The 22,360-nt window shown below is 39.7% G+C and overlaps 2 pseudogenes; both read left to right on the top strand.

Moving 5' to 3' along the window:
• On the top strand, positions 14,133–14,238 carry RNU6-211P (RNA, U6 small nuclear 211, pseudogene; annotated as a pseudogene).
• HNRNPA1P12 (heterogeneous nuclear ribonucleoprotein A1 pseudogene 12) lies at positions 19,866–21,085 on the top strand (annotated as a pseudogene).
• Positions 21,086–22,360: the final 1,275 nt, after the last annotated feature.

Genomic DNA, 22,360 nt, shown 5'->3' with positions numbered 1-22,360 from the left:
TTAATCTTTTGTCCCTTAAACTGTCAATCAATATAAATAATTAGGTGTCTACTGTTTCCCAGACATATTCTGTACATATCATTTAGGATTTATTTATTTATTTATTTAGAGAGGGACTCTGGTTCTGTTGACCAGGCTGGAGTGCAATGGCACAATCTCAGCTCATTTTAACTTCCGCCTCCTAGGTTCAAGCGATTCTCCTGCCTCAGCCTCCTGAGTAGCTGGGATTACAGGTGTGCACCACCACACCCAGCTAATTTCATTGAGAATTTAGAAAACAAACTAATGGTACTATTTCTTAGTGTTTTAAATTAGAACATATCTTGCCTCATGAAGCTTTAAATTATTATTTTCAGTTTCTCCCCATGAAGCGCTCTCGTCTGACATTTGTTTGGAATCGTACCACTGCCGGTCTGCACCAGATGTACCGTCCTTTCAAATATGATTTTCTGTTGTACCTTGTAGTGAATTCTGCAAATCATCTTCCCCACCTAAAAATGTCTGAATGCTAACACGAATAAATTATATAACATGCAAAAATGTATAAATAAATAAAAAAGAAACAACATCTTTTTTTTTTTTTGGAGATAAAGTCTTGCTGTCACCCATGCTGGAGTGCAGTGGTGCAATCAGAACTCACTGCAGCCTCAAACTCCCTGGTTCAAGCCATCGTCCCACCTCAGCGTCCTGAGTAGCTGGAACTACAGGCATGCACCTCCATGCCAGGCTAATTTTTTTTTTTAACTTTTCTGTAGAGACAGAGTCTTGCTCTGTTGCCAGGGCTGCTCTTGAACTCCCAGCGATCCTCCCACCTCAGCCTCCCAAAGTGCTGGGATTACAGACATGAGCCACCACTCCCAGTCTTCTTTTATTATTTTAAATAAATATTCACATTTGTAATTATATATTTTTAAAAGAAAACCTTCCAAATTATTTCAGCTTCAGGCCCCATAAAATCTGATCATCCCTGAAAAATAGATAGGAATGAACTAATATTAATTCATTGCTGAATTGATGAGAAAACTTTTAGTAAAGGTAAGACAAGTAGCACAAGGTAAAGAAAAAAGCAAGAATTTTAGGGCAGAGCTTGTAAATGCAAAGGCCTATTGGCAGGACCTAGTGCAAAATAAAAATTTGTGACTCCTTGATCAAGAATTTTAATGAATTTCAAATAGTGATAGCAGAACATTAATTCAAGCACAAGTATCTTCTAAGCATGCGCGCCGGTAGGACTGTCCATGACCCACATGCATGAAGCCAGCCTGTGGGCACCATTAGGTAATACAAGCAAGAAAACCTCCAACTAAAAAGGCGTGGGTCCTACCTAAAGGACCCTCCGTGACTTAGCTTGAGTGACAGTTGTCAGGTCAGGCCCAGTGTTGCCACCTTTGTCAATTTATTAAGAGAAGTCAGAAATCTGGATTTCTTTATGCAGTCAGCTGGTTTTTAAATATTGACTATTCAAATTATCAAAAAAAAAATTGTACAGACCACAACAAATGTGTCTGAGTGGGTTAATCATGGTGTTAAATATAGGCTACAAACCTTCATCTGGAATCTTTGCTTCAGAAGCAGAAAGACCTGGATTTGCATCTTGACTTTTTTCTCCACATGGTGACTGTTTGGTCTTTTCTGAGATTTGTTTTCCTTATCTAGTTCAGAGCCTGGCATATGGAAAGTGCTCCATAAATGCTAGTTCAATATCTCACACTCTCAAACACTTACGCTGGTTGCTCTTTGAATTATTCGTCATAGAAGACACATCTTGTTATAGTAGTAGATATTTTTATTTAAAAGTAAAAAAAATTCAGAAATCTTTTTTCCTTTGGATGCTATGTAAGTGGTAGACAAAGGAAATGCCCTTCTCTAATTCATCTAATCCTTAAATAGAATATAATTATGAGGCTCACATGCTTATTTTATTTCTTGCATAAGAAGCTATGGTTAGAAAAATAATCAGATAACCTGGTACTCATATCAACAGTGAATGGTCAACTAGGTACCCATTTCCTCTGTCTAAAAAAGGAAATCTATGTACCTATTTCTACCATCTAAAAATGAAACATTTAAAATAACCTAATTCATAGCATTTCTCAAAATTGTCATAACCAAAGTCTTGTTCCTAAGAAATCTGTAAAGAGAAGGTGAAAACTGTTTGAAATGGAAAAATGTTTATATAGATGAATTGTTTTATAAACTTCGATATCGTATTAGTCAGCTATTACAATGATAATGTTCTATACAAACCACTGCAAAACTCAGTGACTTACAACAATTAGCATTTGTTTCTTGCTCATCCATCTTTGGATCTGTTGTGGTTCAAGCTGACCTAGGTTGGACCCAGCTGGGCTTGGCTCCAAGCTGTAGGTTGGGTCCAAGTCTAATCTATGAATTTCTTTTCTTTCTTTCTTTCTTTCCTTCTCTCCTTCCTTCCTTCCTTCCTTCTTTCTTTCTTTCTCTTTTTCTTTCTTTCTCTCTCTCTCTTTCTTTTTTTTCTTCCTTCCTTCCCTCCCTTCTTTCTTTCTCTCTCTTTCTCTCTCTCCTTCCTTCCTTCCTTCCTTCCTCTTTCCAGACAGAGTCTTGCTGTGTTGCCCATGCTAAAGCACAGTATCTATTCACAGGCACCATATCGTGCATCGTGCACCTTGAACTGCTGGACTCAAGCAATCCTGCTGCCTCAACCTCTCCAGTAGCTGACACTATAGGCATGTGCCACTACACCAGGCTGCCCCACAGATTTCTTCTCTTCCTTGGACCAGCAGCATATTATTCTCACGGCAAAAGGCAGAAGAGGAAGAGGGCAAGCCCAAATGCTCATTTCAAACCTGTGCTTACAAGGCCCTTGGCATTCACTGACCGAAGTAAGTCATATGGTTAAGCCCAAGTTAAGGGATGAAAAGGTCTACTCCACCCATCATAGGGCCATTGTAATGGTGAGGATGTAATAACAAGAGAGAGAATAATTGAGTTTAAGAATTCAAATATGCCTCAAATACCTTAATAAAACTGAAATATTTTTGAGCTATACCTTTCAGAGTTTTATCCTCCACGGAACATTATTGAAGTTTGCCTACATTTGTTTTGAATTTTTTTTTTGGACCAAAATGATTGCTGTGGATATTCTGGTGTGGAACACTGAGATAGCAAGTCAGGAGTAATGCAAACGTTAAGGGATATCCAAGTCTACCTCTTAAGAAAAATCCCTGACTTTGCATATTGATACCTATTCCTATGACCTACTTATATGCAGACATGAGGGTCTTCTATCCTACCTCACCACTGTTCATCAGACCCCATCTGTTTTCCAAAGCTCCTGGCTCTGCCTTCATCAGCTACACAGAATGCCAACATTCCTGAGTCTTCCTCAGACTTTATTTATTTATTTATTTACTGAGACGAGTCTTACTCTGTTGCCCAGGCTCGAGTGCAGTGGCACAATCTTGGCTCACTGCAACCTCCGCCTCCTGAGTTCAAGCAATTCTCCCATCTTTGCCTCCCGAGTAGCTGAGACTAGAGGCATGTGCGACCATGCCTGGCTAATTTTTGTATTTTTAGTAGAGACGGAGTTTCACCATGTTGGCCAGGCTGGTCTAGAACTCCTGACCTCAAGTGATCTGCCCGCCTTGGCCTCCCAAAGTGCTGGGATTACAGGTGGGAGCCACCGTGCCCAGCCCAGACTTTATTTTTATATCAAAAGCTCAGATGAAAGAAGTAGTTCTTGAGGAGTCATCTAGGGTAATATTTTCCATAGTCTTCCTTGGTATTCTAAGTATTTTCTTTGGGTTAAATTATATTTCAGCCAGACACGGTGGCTCACACCTGTAATCCCAGCATTTTGGGAGGCCAAGGCGGGTGGATTACTTGAGGTCAGGAGTTCCAGACCAACCTGGGCAACATGGTGAAACCCCATCTCTACTAAAAAATATAAAAAATTAGCCGGGTGAAGCAGCATGCGCCTGCAGACCCAGCTACTCGGGAGGCTGAGGCAGGACAATTGCTTGAACCCGGGAGGTGGAGGTTGCAGTGAGCAGAGATCACGCCACTGCACTCCAACCTGGGCGACAGAGTGAGACTCCGTCTCAAAAAAAAAAAGGTCACCAGTACTGAATTAAGATTCAATGTTATATGCTCAACTTTTACCAAAGTCATTATAAGAGAAAGTCATATAAAACTTGATGTTGTTTTTGTTATTAAACAATCACTGAAGGTCATTTTCTTGCTCAATGGCCTCTTGTAATCCTTTGTCAGAAATTGCTATTATAATTTAATGCCAGAAAGAATGATGCATGTTTTGAAGAATAAGTATGCTTCTTCCTTTCTGAAATCTACTCTGATTTGGTTTGGTCCTAGCTACCAGGAAGTTAAGAGGCAAATCAAACAGTCAATCACACTAAGTTCACAGCCTTTATGATGACTTTTTACCTTCTTTCATGGCTAATTTTCTGTTTCTATTTTACTGTATGTAAACATACAGAAGCTAGCTGGCTAGCTATATCTCCTTTAGGATAAGTTACAAAAAAATCTTTTAAGGAAAGAGATACCGTCTACTGTGCCATGTATCTTTTTTTTTTTTTTTTTTTTTGAGATGGAGTCTCCCTCTGTCGCCCAGGCTGGAGTGCAGTGACACGATCTCGGCTCACTGCAACCTCCGCCTCCCAGGTTCAAGTGATTCTTCTGCCTTAGCCTCCTGAGTAGCTGGGACTACAGGTGCGTGCCACCACGCCCAGCTGAGTTCTGTATTTTTTGTAGAGACGGGGTTTCATCATGTTGGCCAGGATGGTCTTGATCTCCTGACCTCATGATCTGCCTCCCTTGGCATCCCAAAGTGTTGGGATTACAGACGTGAGCCACAGTGCCTAGCCTCTTTTTTTTTTTTTAATGTTAAAGGAAATGTATCATTCCAGTTATTGTAAACACATAAGAAATACTGGAATGAGGGCTAAGGTTTAACAAATTTTAATAAGATATTTAGAATTACCTTCTCAGAATTTGAATACTGTAACTACAAACATTCAAATATATTCTAAACTTCAATTTAATCTTTCTTGAAAATGACAAATACATATTTTTAAAAATTTATTTATTTATTTATTTTTTGAGATGGAGTCTTGCTGTCTCGCCCAGGCTGGAGTACAATGACATGATCTCAGCTCACTGCAACCTCCACTTCCTGGGTTCAAGCAATTATCCTGCCTCAGCCTCTCAAGTAGCTGGGATTACAGGTGCATACCACCATGCCCAGCTAATTTTTTGTATTTTAGTAGAGATGGAGTTTCACCGTGTTGCCCAGGCTGGTCTCAAACTCCTGAGCTCAGGCAATCCACCCACCTCGGCCTCCCAAAGTGCTAGGATTACAGGCATGAGCCACCACCTGTAAATTTAAATTGTTATTTGATTGGCATTACTAATTTACACATCATGAATTCTGTAAAATAAAATTAAAAGGCTGGGTGCAGTTGCTAACACCTGTAATCCCAGCACTTCGGGAAGCCGAGGCAGTAGAATTGCTTGAGCCCAGGAGTTAGAGACCAGCCTAGGCAACCAAGTGAGACCCTGTCTCTACCAATAAATAAATAAATAAATAAATAAATAAATAAGCTAGGCATGGTGGTTCAGGAGGCTGAGGCTAGAGGATCCCTTGAGCCCAGGAGGTCAAGCCATGTTTGCACCACTGCATTCCACTCTGGGCTGGGCGACAGAGACAGACTCTGTCTCAAAAATAAATAAATAATTAATTTAAAAAAATTAGAATTGTTTTTATGTATTGAATACTTAGCAAAAACACAGTCTCTATAGAATATGACCTGCTTTGGGAACAGAAAACCAAATACCACATGTTCTCACTTTTAAGTGGGAACTAAATGACCAGAATTCATGAACACAAACAAGAGAACAACAGACACTGGGGCCTACTTGAGAGTGGAAGGTGGGAGGAGGGAGAGGAGCAGAAAAAATAACTATTGAATACTAGGCTTAGTACTGGGTGACAAAATAATCTGTACAACAAACCCCCACGACGTGAGTTTACCTATACAACAAACCTGCACACGTACCCCTCAACCCCAAAAAAAAAAAAAAAAGAATACAACCTGCTTTGTTTAGATTGCAAAACCTCTTCAATTGTAATGTCATTCTCCCATGCTGTTTTTATATTTTGCTTAGAAAATGCAATGCAAAGGCCAGGCGCGGTGGCTCACGCCTCCTGTAATCCCAGCACTTTGGGAGGCCGAGGCAGGTGGATTGCCTGAGCTCAGGAGTTCGAGACCACCTTGGGCAACATGGTGAAACCCCATCTCTACTAAAATACAAAAAAGTAGCTGGGCATGGTGGCTGGTGCCTGTAATCCCAGCTACTCGGGAGGGTGAGGCAGGAGAATCGCTTGAGCCTGGGAGGTGGAGGTTGCCGTGAGCCGAGATCATGCAACTGCACTCCAGCTTGGGCTACAGAGTGAGACTCCATCAGAAAGAAAAGAAGAGAAAGATGAGAAAGAAAAGAAAGAAAAGGAAGGAAGGAAGGAAGGAAAAGAGCAATGCAAAAAAGCTGAAATCGCCATAAAATTTTGGTAGGTTTCTAAGGCTAAAGGTATCCAAAAAGACCTATTTTATTAAATACAATTCTAAAAATTAATAGACTATGCTTTAAAGCAGTTTTAGGTTGATAGGAAAAATTGAGCATAGAGTACAGAGTTTCCACATACTCCCTCTCTCTGCCACCCACTGTCTCATGTACTATTTCATTTATCATGGGAATAGTTTGTAAAATTTTTCAAGCCAAAATGATCTTATCTCACCCTTAAATGCTCCCTCCAGAATTTCACACATGCAGCATTGGCTAAGTAAATCAAAGAAATAAATTCAATGGTGTGTTTCATCAACACTGTCAATACTACTTCTTTCTGGGGAGTTCTCCTCTAATTATATGCAGCTTTCATTACTCCCCTCCACCCCAACTAAATCTGGTATTGTTCACAGGAGACAGTAGAGTATAAAGAAGTGATTCTACTCTTTATGTGAAAAGATGATTTCATTATTACAATAGACCATTGGCAGCTCTGACCTCCAATGACCTCCTTTCCTATTTTATTCAGAGACACTAAATGGTTTAATGGATCACAATTGTAAATGAAACATTATAGATTACAATGCTTAAACTGAGCATAGCTGAAATAAATATACTTACGTTTAATGAGAAAACATTATATTTAGTTATCATTATTAGAAAAATACTTTTACATCCCCTTTAAGGCACCTCCAATTTATCTTTTCTGATTTTCTTTTTACACATTTCATCCATTTGTGCCAGTTTTAGTGCCTGGTTCTTTTTCTTTGTCAATTGCTTCTCAAAGGCAATTTGGAGAACATCTTCAATTATATCAGCTCCTTCTTTACTCTTCTTCAGAAGTTCTGACTGTTGTTGAGATAGTGTTTACCAGGTGTCAGAGATAAACTCAGGATAATTCTTGACTGAATTCTGAGGATGATGAGTGGGGGTGGGATCCTGGCCTCTATATCTCCCAGGGTGGAACACTGAGCCCAGGCTAAGTCTGATTTTTGCCTGTCCATTCATATATACAATGTGGAATTAAAGTATGCTTGGAATTGTGCATGGGTGTGTAGCAGGACGAGCCACAGACAAAACTCCTCAGACACTGGGTTAAAGAAGGAAGGAGGCTTTATTCGGCCGGGAGCTTGGGCAGATTTACATCTCAAGAGCTGAGCTCCCCGAAAAGGAAATACCTGGCCCTTTTAAGGGCTTACAAGTCCAAGGGGTCCACGTGAAAGGGTCGTGATAGATCGAGCAAGTGTGGGGAACGTGACTGGAGGCTACATGAATCAGCTAACAGAACAGAAAGTTTTGAAGTGCTTCCTCACACAATGTCTGGAATTTACAGATAACAGAAGTAGTTTAGGTCAGGGGTTAATATTATTATTATTATTTTAACCACCAGGGCCGGGTGGTGGCGCCGAGGTTGTCCAGCTATTTATCTTATTTCTGTTTCTTTTCAACTTTTTGCTTTCTCCCTTTTTTCCCTATCTTATAAACTAGGGAAGTTGGTGGGGGGAAGGGAAGGGCAGCAGGAGAAGTGGTGGTCTCCTTCCTTATTTCCCCCTTTTGAGAATTTCACTTTTTAGTGGGAGTTCTTAGGTGGAGCTTCTGAATTTGTGGGGAATGACTATGGAGTGATTATGAACTCAGATACTCCTGTGGGGAATCCCTAATTATTGGTATCTGTAGGAATTTTTTCTTTTCTTTTCCTTTTTTGAGATGGAGTCTTGCTCTGTTGCCCAGACTGGGCCCAGCTAATTTTTGTATTTTTAGTAGAGACGGGTTTTCACCATGTTGGCCAGGCTGGTCTCGAACTCCTGACCTTGTGATCCACCTGCCTCGGCCTCCCAAAGTGCTGTTATTACAGGCGTGAACCACTGCTCTCGGCAAGGAATTTTTTCTTGAGTGAATCAATTTTCCCAAGAGTAGTAAGTATCCAAATCTCTTGTAGTTGGGGGAAGGGTTGGGGAACAGTGAATGGGTAAATCTTGTCTGCCAGCTTTCTCAGAATCAAGGGATGGAAGAAAGATGGGGTTCCATGTTTGGACGTATAGACTTTCACTTAATAATTTCCCTGGTTTCAGTAGTGTGCCTCCTGCATTACATTTTAAAAAATAATAAAAATGGCAGTTTTGAAAAGGATCCTTTGAGAACAAAAAGTTTTAAAATTTGGCATATCAAAAAACCAAATTCTTGCTATCCTCCCCAAACCTCTCTTGCAGTTTGCTCATCTGAATAAATGATGGCTTCCAGTTGCTCAGCATAAACTTGGGCATCATCCTCCACTCTTTTTTTCCTCTCATGCTTGCACCGGATCAATTAGTAAATCCTCTTGACTCCACCCTCACAATATAACAGCACCTCACCTTCTGGTTCCCATCACCGTCATCTCTAGTCTATTGCAGATTGTTCCACTGACATTGATTATAGATCTGTTGCCAACGAAGAATCTATTTTATCTGCTTAGAAGAATAAGCCATTTCTTGTATTTGTGTTTTCCTGCCATAGTTTCCTTTTCTGGACTTGAAGAGATACTCTAATCTAACTTGTGGTAACTATGAGCCTCGTTCTTGTCTAATCACAGTTTTGGATCTCAGTACCTAGACTTGCCCTGTGCAAAATCCTGGGAGGGAAGGCACTGATAGTGAAGAAAGGAAAAAAGCAAAAGCAGTAAACTACCTGCCTTGTAATCCTGTCCCAGGCCATGCAAACAATTCCTCAGAAAATAAATGTGAATGTCACTGTGCTGGTCATTTGTCCACTTGGTCTCAGACCCATTCTCTGCCCTTCCTTTACTCTGCTCTGGATTGCAGGTCACTGACCTCTGCAAACTGCATTTCCAAACCAGTTCCTCTTTGACAATTGGTTTCTAGTTAGAATTGACCAGTGGGGAGGCAATGACTGGAGATCGGGGGGTGGGAAGGGGGAAAGCCAGGGTATTTCTCCTTCTTTCTCTCTCTCTGCTTTGTGTGGAATCTCAAGCAGGGCTTGGGCCTTTGCCATGGTTCCAACTCTCTCCAGCCTTCCTAAGCTCTGCTTCTACCACTTCCTTCCTTTGTTCCTCCTACCTTGGGAGCAATAGCAGTTTCCTGACATTTGTAAACCCTTTGTTGCCTCACTGACCTCTGGTTCCTCTCAGCTCTCCCATCGCTTTTGTGACCAGGTCCCCATCTTGAATTTCTTCTGTGACGGTACCTTGGTTCTGTCTTCCTGCCTGGGCCTTCAATGATGCTGCCACCTTTCAAATTCCTGCCACATGCTGCTAATACCTGCTCTTAGATCTATGCTTTTAACCAGACTTCCCCCCACCAATGCATTTTAATATTTATTTGCTTTCATATCTACTCTGAAAGTGTAAAATAAAATTATCCACCTTTTATAAAAATGAAATATTTATAGAATCCTACCCTAAGTATTTACTTCTAAAAACCAGAAATTGCAGCTTCCATTTCAGTGAATCTCTATCAAGTGTTGGTATGGAGCTAGACACTATAAAAATATTTTCTGGAACCCTCACTATAACCTGCAAGGTAGTTACTACTCCCTGCTTATAAAAGGAGAAAGCTAAGGCTCCAACATGTTAAGTAACAGAGTTGCACAGCTAGTAGATGGTGAGGTGCAGCTGCACGCTTTCATCTGTGTGCTACAAGTGCTTTCCGCTGCCCTAATCCGCTTTCCTAACTCGCTCCATGCCTGTCATTACGTTAATCCATATTTGCTTATCCTTTTGATCTTAATCGGCACAGTAGGTTTTATTATACCCTTACATAGCAATTTCAGGGTCACGTGAAAAACACATGAATTTAGGAAACATTAAGTACAAACAGAGAACCGATTGTGTCTTGGTTAGATCAATAATTGTACATGGTTGTAAATGTCATTCCAACTATTTGTACACTTGAACCATGGAAACAAAATTATTTAATGAGTTAATTCTATCATCTAAAATTAATAATACATTTTAATACCCTTTGAGTACCACAATAAAGTTATTACAGAACAGGTACTTTCATTTATTCCACAAAAAATGGAGAACCGAAGCAGTTGTTGCTTTACCTAATTATTGAACCTCTGATTTGAATGGAGGAAGCTGTTTCCTGAGAGAAGCGGCCCCTTTTAGCAAAGGAACAGGAGTTGTAATGGAAGCAGTTCCCAGCCACTGCAAGCTTTAAATCCAAAAGGCATCCTAATGCTTTATTTGCCCACAAACACAAAGGCATGCCCACAGTTTGCATGTTATTTTCAAGCTCCATGTCCAAAGAAACTAGAAAAATAAGCATAAACCAAAGAAATGCTGAGGCCAGCATATCAAATGAGAATTAATCACAAATGAGAAAGAATAAATTTCATTTGAAATAGAAAATAAAATGTGACCCTATCTTCCTCCTTTTTACTGTCAAACTCTCAAACAATGGCATTCGTTTTCAGTAGTTAAAATCCTCAGAAGAAATTTGGCCTAATTTCACAGGTAACACTTGCATATATACACATGTAGATTTGTAGCTCGTGGATTTTTCTGTGACAAATTAATATTCCACACTGGTTTCTCCCTGCTGCCTGGCATTCACTGTTGCCAATTCCTTCCAGTCTTGGCTGCCATGTGTTAAGAAATAACAAATAAATAGTAGTATATTGTCAAGTAAAACACAAGCACTCTGTAAACCTCTCCAGTAAAAAAAAAAAAAACATAATCTGATTATACATTTCAAGGCAAAGAGAAAAAATTTCTTAGATGATCTACTGTTCTAAAAATATCTGTGCCCCTGATCCCTTATAATAACAAAGATGATCAGAAGTTAATAAAAATTACCCTGATCTGGTCATTATATGATGTCTGCATGTATTGAAACATCACACTACCCCATAATATGTAAAATTATTATATGTCAATTATAATTTAAAATTAATTAAATTCTTAAAATTTTACATTAATTATCTTTGCTTACCCCCAAGGCAAAGTGAAGACATGTAGAATTTAGTCCTGATTAACTCACAAAAAATGGGGTAAAAATAATCCTTTTTTTAAAATACTCATTTTAACAATAAACAATAAATTTTTACTTTCCCAACAAATTCCTATTTCTACCATTTAATAGAAACATTCTGTTCACCATATTAGGCCATGCCTTTTAAAGTTTCAAATGTTTTCATGTGGAACTTATTATAAAATTATTTTCTAGACTTTTATTGGCTATAATATATATTCATTACTAAACAGATGGGTTTGTTTTTATACTATCTTATTTTTAGATATTTCTGGGAAAGACTTTGCATAACTTCTCTTGATTGAGTGCTGCCTCTAGAATAGCTAATCCTGTCTTATTTACACCAGCACCCTTTTTGCTGGCTATTGGGAATAATGTTGCATGAATTTGGGAGTGCAGATATTTCTTTGAGATACTGATTTCAATTCCTTCAGATATATACCCAGAAATGGGAATTGCTGGGTCACATGGTAGTTTTGTTTTTTGATGAACCATACTGTTTATCTCCTTCACTCTTTATAATTGTATAGTACTTCATTCTGTGGACGTATAACCCATAATTTATTTAGTCAATCTCCTGCTGTTGAATAGTTGTATTGTTTCCAGTATTTTTCTCCTAAAAAAATTCTGCAATGAAAAATCTTATATTGTTTCATTCCTTATGTTTATGGATATATCTGCAGTATAAATTCTCAGAAGTGGAATGGAATTACTGGGTCAAAAGGAAAAGTGAATTGATTAATATATTAGACAGCCTGTTTCCCCACAGACTTGCCGACAGAGTATATTTGCTGTATATTCTATAAACAGAAAGTGATTAAATAAGAATATTTTTACTTCCATTATTAGAACACAAAGTATACTTTTTTATATTTCAAATCATTCTTAAAAAGAATGTGATACTAAATTGTTTTGTTTTGTTAAATAGAATCAGGGTCTATATTGCCCCGGCTGGTCTCAAACTCCTGGACTCAACTGATAATCCTGCCTTGGCCTCCCAAAGCGTTGAGATTACAGTCAGGAGTCACCATGCTAGACCACCAAATTGTTTTTTGTTTTTTGGAGGTTATTTTTGAGATGGAATCTCGCTCTGTCACCCAGGCTGGAGTATAGTGGTGCAATCTCGGCTCACTGCAACCTCTGCCTCCCAGGTTCAAACGATTCTCCTGCCTCAGCCTCCCAAGTAGCTGGGATTACTAATTCTCCTGCCTCAGCCTCCTGGCTAATTTTTTGTATTTTTGGTAGAGATGGGGTTTCGCCATGTTGGCCAGGCTGGTCTCAAACTCCTGACCTCCAGTGATCTTTCTGCCTCAGCCTCCCAGTGTGCTGGGTTTACAGGCGTGAGCCACCACACCTGGCTGACCAAATTGTTTTTAATCAGAGTGTCTAAATACACTCCTATACCATCATACTTATTAATTTCTTTGGGAAAAAAATTAGTACCAGAAATGATGTAATATTTTATGTGCCTATTCTCTTTATTTATGTTTTAATTCTACTTAATAAATATTGTTACTTACCAGTCCAAGCTCAAAAAGCATGCATAAAATATGGTTTTTAGCCGCTGATGCTAGACAACTTGAGAAATTTAGGGACTTATTGTTTTTCAAAAGAAAATTTCTTATAGTATAACTAAATTTTTAAATTTGGTTTTTTATGCATGCTTTTTGAGCTTGAACTAGTAAGCAACAATACTTATTAAATAGAATTAAAACATAAATAAAGAGAATAGGCACATAAAGTATTACATCATTTCTGGTACTAATTTTTTTCCCAAAGAAATTAAAGAAGTATGATGGTATAGGAGTGTATGTAGACACTCTAATTAAAAACAATTTGGTCAGCTGGACACAGTGGCTCACACCTGTAATCTCAGCACTTTAGGGGCCGAGGCGGGCAGATCACAAGGTCAGGAGTTCGAGACCATCCTGGCCAACATGGTGAAACCCCATCTCTATTAAAAATACAAAAAATAGCTGGGCATGGTGGCAGCTGCCTGTAATCCCAACTACTCAGGAGGCTGAGGCAGGAGAATCGTTTGAACCTCGGAGGCGGAGGTTGCAGTGAGCTGAGATTGTGCCATTGCACTCTAGCCTGGGCGACAGGGCGAGACTCTGTCTCAAAAAAAAAAAAAAAAAAAAACACACACATACATTTAAAAAATTTAGTTATACTATAAGAAATGTTCTTTTGAAAAACAATTAGTATACGTCCCTAAATTTCTGAAGTTGTCTAGCATCAGTGGCTAAAATAATATGTAAAAATAAAAACAGAAAAAAGAGCGGTAGTCAGTAACTCACCACTTAAACGTACAGCTTAAAATAGAATTTCCTAGGCAATTCTATAGCACATACTTATGGAAAATGTTACATTCAGCAGTCAGAACTGGCCCTGGATCATCAAAACAGTGGTTATTACCATCATTTATTAACTTGAGGCTTCTCAATTCAAGATGCTGTATAAATTGAAGACATTCGTTTTCTACCCAAAAAAATACCACAATTTGGGTTGAATTCTAGCTCTACCACTTGCTGCTTGTGTGACCTTAAGCATATCAACCACTCCAAGCCTCAGTATTTCCACCTATAAAACAAGGCTGCTGTGCTCACTTTGGCAGCATATATACTAAAATTGGATTGATACAGAGAAGATTAGCATGGCCCCTGCACAAAGATGACATGCAAATTTGTGAAGCATTCCATATTTTTAACGGACAACCTACAGAATAAGAGAAAATTTTTGCAATCTATCCATCTGACAAAGGTCTAATATCCAGAGTCTACAAGGAACTTAAACAAATTTACAAGAAAAAAACAAACAACTCCATTAAAAAGTGGGCAAAGGACATGCATAGACATTTCTCAAAAGAAGACATCCGTGCAGCCAACAAACAGATGAAAAAAAGCTCAACGTCACAGATCATTAGAGAAATGCAAATCAAAACCACAATGCAGTACCATCTCATGCCAGTCAGAATGGCAATTATTAAAAAGACAAAAAACAACAGATACTGGTGAAGTTGCGAAGAAAAAGAAACACTTCTACACTGTTGGTGGGAATGAGATTAGTTCAACTATTGTGGAAAACAGTGTCGTGATTCCCCAAAGATCTACAAACAGAAATACTATTTGCTCCAGCAATCTCATTACTAGGTATATACCTGAAGGAATAGAAATCATTCTATTATAAAGATACATGCACGCATATGTTCATTGCAGTACTATTCACAAGAGCAAAGATATGGGATCAACCCAAATGCCTATCAACAGTAGACTGAATAAAGAAAATATGGTGCATATACACCACGGAATACTATGCAGCCATAAAAAGGAATGAGATCATGTCCTTTGCAGGGACATGGATGGAGCTGGAAGCCGTTATTCTCAGCAAACTAGTGCAGGTACAAAAAACCAAACACCACATGTTCCGCAAGTGGAACAAGCTACCGCAAGTGGAAGCTGAACTATGAGAACACATGAACACATGGGGGAGAACGACACACACTGAGGACTGTTGGAGGTGGTTGCAGGGGAGGGAGACCATCAGGAAGAACAGCTAATGGATGCTGAGCTTAATACCTGGTGATGGGTTGATCTGTGCAGCAAACCACCATGGCACATATTTACCTATGTAACAAACCTGCACATATATGCCAGAACTTAAAATAAAAGTTGATTTTAAAAAATAGGGCTGCCAGGCATCGTGGCATATGACTGTAGTCCCAGCTACTCGGAAGGCAGAGGCCTGAGGATCACTTGGGCTCAGGGGTTCCAGGCTGTAGTGTGCGATGATTGTAACTGTGAATAGCCACTGCACTCCAACCCGGACAACATAGTGAGACTCCATCTCATAAAAGAAAGGCTAATAGTAGTAGCTACTCCACAGGATAGCTCTTTTTGGAGAAAATTTAATTGGATAGTACTTATAAAGTACTTATCAGAGTGTGTAGTATATAGCATGCCTTCTACTAATAGTAAGAATAATGAACGTTCTCTGATTTCAAGTTTTTCCAACATATTATGTTGCATTGGTAATCCTTCATTAAAAAATGTACTTGGCCATTTGAGGTGGCTTACACTTGTAATTCCAGCAATTTGGGAGGCCATGGGGGGAGAATCACTTGAAGCCAGGAGTTCAAGACCAGCTTGGGCAAGAAAGTGAGACCCTGTCTCTACAATAAATAAATAAATAAATAAATAACCGAGTGTGCTGCTGTGTGCCTATAGTCCCAGCTACTCAGGAGGCTGAGGCAGGAGAATCATTTGATTGCCCAGGAGTTCGAGGCTGCAGTGAGCTATGATCATGTGACTGCCCTCTAACCTGGGTGATAGAGCAAGACCCTGTTGCTTAAAAAAAAGGACTTAAAAATTTTTTTTTTAACCTTACACAATCTGATGTGAGAAAGACTGCCTCTGAAGCCCAGGAAATTTGAGTAACAAACACAGATTCTTGGCCCAATGGTCTAGTACTCTAGATCTCTGGTTTTCAACCTGAGTTCTGTAGAATCCTAAGTTTGTTGTTGTTGTTGTTGTTGTTGTTGGCTTTTTTTGAGACAAAGTCTTGCTCTGTCACCCAGGCTGGAGTGAACTCACACAATCTCGGCTCACTGCAACCTCTGCCTCCCAGGTTCAAGCGATTCTCCTGTCTCAGCTTCCCGAGTAGCTGGGATTACAGGTGCCCGCCACCACACCTGGCTAATTTTTGTATTTTTAGTAGAGCCGGGGTTTCACTATGTTGGCCAGGCTGGTCTTGAACTCCTGACCTCAAGTGATCCGCCTGCCTGGGCCTCCCAAAGTGCTGGTATTACAGGCATGAGCCACCATGCCCGGCCCAAATCCTAAGATTCTAAGGAGGTTCTTTAGAGGTTCGCAAATATTTGATTAGAATTTTACATTAAAACTCTGATTTAGGGCCAGGTCTGGTGGCTTATGCCTGTAATCCCAGCATTTTGGGAGGCCGAGGTGGGCAGATTGCTTGAGGACAGGAGTTCGAGACCAGCTTGGCCAACATAGCAAAACCACGTCTCTACTAAAAATACAAAAAATATTAGCGGCGGAAATGGTACACACCTATAATCCCAGCTACTCAGGAGGCTGAGGAACAAGAATTGCTCGAACCTGGGAGGCAGATGTTGCAATGAGCCGAGATTGCTCCACTGCACTCCATCCTGGGTGACAGAGCAAGACTCTGTTTCAAAATAAATAAATAATAATTAATTAAAAAATAAAACTATGATTTAGAAAACAAAATGAATTCTCAATATGTTATACAGAAATATCCTGGAGGTTACCAACAAATTGATACTTACACTACCAGATAATTCATTTTGTATAGACCTCAGAATAAAGCTTCCTCTGCTGTCTGTTTAATTGAAGAGTATCAAGAAAATCGAGCTATTAAATATCTGCTAGAATGTGAATGAGTTAGAATGTCCCCCACACTTTATAGCCAAAACAAATGCAGATATAAATTATATGCGAAGGCCATCTATAACACTTGATTTCATATTTGGTCTGATTAAAACAGCTTTATTGTTCTTGCTGATTCATTTGCTAAAAATAAATGCTGTACTTTGGCATTAACTAAATTCATGCTATAAAACAGCTCATCATTAGATATTGTGTGCGAAAAAACAAACAATCTCCTGGTTAAGAGTGTACGGAGCTGGGCGTGGTGGGTCACGCTTGTAATCCCATCACTTTGGGAGGTCGAGGTGGGCAGATCGCCTGAGGTCAGGAGTTCGAGACCAGCTTGGCCAACATGGTGAAACCCCTGCCTCTACTAAAAATATAAAAATTAGTGCATCGTGGTGGCGGGCACCTATAATCCCAGCTACTGGGGAGGCTGAGGCAAGAGAATTGCTTGAACCCAGGGAGCTGAGGTTGCAGTGAGCCAAAATTGCACCATTGCACTCCAGCCTGGCAACAGAGCAAGACTCCATCTCAAAAAAAAAAAAAAAAAGCATGGAAAATGCTTCTCAAACAAACTGTAGAAATGTGTTTAGAATAGCAAAAAAAAAAAAAAAGTTGATTTTATAGGTACAGATTTTTGATGGAGAAGAAAAAGCAGGCAAACGAATACTAACAAGAAAATATGAGCTGATAAGATGGAAAAAATAAGAATTTAATAAAGCTTGCAGTCAGGTGTGGCACCTCACATCTGTAATCCCAGCATTTCGGGAAATGAGGTGGGAGGATCACTTGAGTCTAGGAGTTAGAGGCCAGCCTGGGCAACATAGTGAGACCCAGTTTCTACAAAAAATATAAAAAATGCCAGGTGTGGTTGCGTTGCCTCTAGTCCCAGCTTCTTGGGAGGCTGAGGCAGGAGGATGGTTTGAGCACAGGAATTTGAGGCTGCAGTGCGTCATGACTACTTCACTGCACTCCAGCCTGGGTAACAGAGCAAGAGGCTCTCTCAAAAAAAAAAAAAAAAAAAAAAATAGGCTGAGCATGGTGGCTCATGCCTGTAATCCCAGCACTTTGGGAGGCCGAGGTGGGTGGGTCATTTGAGGACAGGAGTTCGAGACCAGCCTGGCCAACATAGTGAAACCCTGGCTCTACTAAAAATACAAAAATTAGCCAGGCATGGTGGTGGGTGCCTATAGTCCCAGCTACTTGGGAGGCTGAGGCAGAAGAGTCACTTGAACCCAGGAGGTGGAGGTTGCAGTGAGCCGAGATCTGCCACTGCACTCCAGTCTGGGCAACAGAGCAAGACACTGTCTTAAAAATAAATTAAAATAAATAAATAAATAAATAAATAAAATAAGATAAAGCTTGCGGTTAGATCATGTAGAACAAATGTACAATTGAAGATAAATGTGTGCATATATATATGTATATATGTATATGTGTGTGTGTGTGTATGTACAAGTAAAAAATGTGGAATGGGCCAGGCATGGTGGCTCACACCTATGATTGCAACACTTTGGCGGGCTGAGGTGGGTGGATCACTTGAGTCCACAAGTTCGCAGTCAGCCTAGTCAATGTAGTGAGACCCCATTTCTATCTAAAAGAAAGAAAAGAAAAGAGAGAGATAAAGGAAGGAAAGAAAGAAGAAAAGAAAGAAGGAAAAAAGAAAGAAAAAGAAAGAAAGAGAAAGGAAGGAAGTAAAGAATGAAAGAAAGAAAGAGAGAGAAGGAAGGAAAGAAGAAAGGAGGGAGGGAAGGAAGGAAGGAAGGAAGGAATGAAAGAAAGAAAGAGAGAAGGAAGGAAGGAAAGAAGAAAGGAGGGAGGGAAGGAAGGAAGGGAAGGATAGAAGAAAGGAGGGAGGGAAGAAAGGAAGGAAGGGAAGGATAGAAGAAAGGAGGGAGGGAGGAGAGGACAAAAGTTTGCAAAATTTGATAAAGAAAATACAACATCATATAATTGTTCCTCACACCTATAATATTTGTAGTTTATAGAATAAGCAAACAATTTCCCTAGTGGCATGGAAAAGGGAGAGTTTAAATTATCTCTGACTACACATTTGTGGTCATGATGAGGTACCAAGGGATTTAGAATTAGGTATTTTTCTTAAAAGGTTAGGCAGGCAGAGGAGGGCAGGGAAATGAAAGGAATCAAAATTCCTGGACCATGAAGCAAAGCAGCTTTATGAGGAGGTTTAAGCACACTAAGACTCACCTGTTTTACTTCTCCTAAGAATAGAAATGGACTGCACAGTCAGAATAGTGAAAGAAGCACATAGCTTCAAATGTGAGTTGTAGCTTCTTTCTACAGAGAGGAATCTTGAGATTGATTTGGGTATCAAGACTTATGATTTGAAGCAAAACGTCAAATAACCATTAGAAGAAGAGCCAGCACGCTGTAACTTTCCCCCATAAATATAAATGTCATATTATTTGAGGAAAATTCTACATTCGATTGCAAGTAAATCATACACCACCAACCTTTGCATATCCTGTAAGTCACAAGTTACTAGATATATATGATAAGCCCAGAAGCCAGCAATCATATTAAATTAAAAAGGGCTGCCAGGTGCGGTGGCTCACACCTGTAATCCCAGCATTTTGGGAGGCCGAGGCGGGTGGATAACTTGAGGTCAGGAGTTCGAGACCAGCCTGGCCCATATGGTGAAACCCCATCTCCACTAAAAATACAAAAATTAGCCAGCGTCATGGCGCACACCTATAGTCCCAGCTACTTGGGAGGCTGAGGCAGGAGAATCGCTTGAACCCAGGAGGCAGGGGTTGCAGTGAGCAGCGATTGTGCCACTGCACTCCAGCCTGGGCAATGGAGTGAGACTGTCTCAAAAAAAAAAAAAAAAGGGCCTAGAAGAAAGGCATGCACAACAGCATATTAATTAACACTACAAAGGAGATTTTAGGATTTTTTTTTTTTTCTGCCCATGGACACCGCCGAAGAAGCATTGTTAAAGTCTCTCTTCACCCTGCCGTCATGTCTAAGTCAGAGTCTCCTGAAGAGCCCGAACAGCTGAGGAAGCTCTTCATTGGAGGGCTGAGCTTTGAAACAACTGATGAGAGCCTTGAGGAGCCATTTTGAGCAATGGGGAATGCTCACGGACTGTGTGGTCATGAGAGATCCAAACACCAAGCACCCCAGGGGCTTTGGGTTTGTCACATATGCTACTGTGGAGGAGGTGGATGCAGCCATGAATGCAAGGCCACACAAGGTGGATGGAAGAGTTGTGGAACCAAAGAGAGCTGTCTCGAGAGAAGATTCTGAAAGACCAGGTGCCCACTTAACTGTGAAAAAGATATTTGTTGGTGGCATTAAAGAAGACACTGAAGAACATCACCTAAGAGATGATTTTGAACAGTATGGAAAAATTGAAGTGATTGAAATCATGACTGACCGAGGCAGTGGCAAGAAAAGGGGCTTTGCCTTTGTAAATTTTGACGACCATGACTCCATGGATAAGATTGTCATTCAGAAATACCATACTGTGAATGGCCACAACTGTGAAGTTAGGAAAGCCCCGTCACAGCAAGAGATGGATAGTGCTTCATCCAGCCAAAGAGGTCGAAGTGGTTCTGGAAACTTTGGTGGTGGTCGTGGAGGTGGTTTCGGTGGGAATGACAACTTTGGTCATGGAGGAAACTTCAGTGGTTGTGGTGGCTTTGGTGGCAGTCATGGTGGTGGTGGATATGGTGGCAGTGGGGATGGCTATAATGGATTTGGTAATGATGGAAGCGATTTTGGAGGTGGTGGAAGCTACAATGATTTTGGCAATTACAACAATCAGTCTTCAAATTTTGGACCCATGAAGGGAGGAAATTTTGGAGGCAGAAGCTCTGGCCCTTATGGTGGTGGAGGCCAATACTTTGCAAAACCACAAAACCAAGGTGGCTATGGCGGTTCCAGTAGCAGCGGTAGCTATGGCAGTGGCAGAAGATTTTAATTAGGAAACAAAGCTTAGCAGGAGCGGAGAGCCAGAGAAGTGACAGGGAAGCTACAGGTTACAACAGATTTGTGAACTCAGCCAAGCACAGTGGTGGCAGGGCCTAGCTGCTACAAAGAAGACATGTTTTAGACAAATACTCATGTGTATGGGCAAAAAACTCGAGGACTGTATTTGTGACTAATTGTATAACAGGTTATTTTAGTTTCTGTTCTGTGGAAAGTGTAAAGCATTCCAACAAAGGGTTTTAATGTAGATTTTTTTTTTGCACCTATGCTGTTGATTGCTAATGTAATAGTCTGATCGTGATGCTGAATAAATGTCTTTTCTTTTTAATGTGCTGTGTAAAGTTAGTCTACTCTGAAGCCATCTTGGTAAATTTCCCCAACAGTGTGAAGTTAGAATTCCTTCAGGGTGATGCCAGGTTCTATTTGGAATTTATATACAACCTGCTTGGAGGGAGAAGCCATTGTCTTCAGAAACCTTGGTGTAGTTGAACTGATAGTTACCGTTGTGACCTGAAGTTCACCATTAAAAGGGATTACCCAAGCAAAATCATGGAATTATTGGTTATAAAAGTGATTGTTGGCACATCCTATGCAATATATCTAAATTGAATAATGGTACTAGATAAAATTATAGATGGGAATGAAGCTTGTGTATCATCCATTATCATGTGTAATCAATAAATGATTTAATTCTCTTGAAAAAAACAAGGAAGGAGATTTTAGAACAAATACTATTTAAAGCTTATTTGCATTAAACAAGATTACATACAAAAATCTGTCTTAAAATCTTTACTTTTAAAGTTATATATACTGTTACAGAAAGATGTCCAAGATATAGTGCCCTTGATAAAGGCAGGATACAAAATGGATTGTTCATTTTCATAGAATATATAAATAAAATAATACGTAGGCCTCAATTAATGACTTTAAATTGTTCCTGAAGATCTTGCCATTAAGTGAAAAAGTATTTTCATTCATTTTAATGGAGAAAAATTATGATCACAGTGTATTCCATCCCAAGACATCCAAACAATTCTTACAAATAGAAAAATCAGAACAATGAAAACAAAATGGTGTAAGTAATAAAAAGTGTTTGAAGGTAAATAAATACACTTTGAACATAAAGTGTAGTAAATGAAACTGTGTCATATTCACCAAAAGAAGAAGCTTCCTATTATGATGGAAGAAGGAAGTGGAGTTTTTCTTTGGAAGAGGGTGGAGAAGCAGATCATTAATTTTTAAGCGGCAGCTCTTTGTGGGTTCATGGTTATCTTACACTCAAACAGCTCACAACCAACTGGAGAGTGGTAGCCACTATTGTAAAAAACAGTTTGAAATTTGGAGATAGATAGATAGATATAGATATAAAACACAAAACTTAACAGTGGGGTTGTCAGACATGGGATTATTAGCCACTTTTACTTTCTATACTATATATCTTATAAAATTTAAGATTTACAATGA

This window comes from Homo sapiens, chromosome 5, assembly GCF_000001405.40.
Source record: "Homo sapiens chromosome 5, GRCh38.p14 Primary Assembly".
Taxonomy (NCBI): domain Eukaryota; kingdom Metazoa; phylum Chordata; class Mammalia; order Primates; family Hominidae; genus Homo; species Homo sapiens.
The sequence above is the reverse complement of the archived record's forward strand: the minus strand, read 5'-3'. Positions and strand labels throughout refer to the sequence as shown.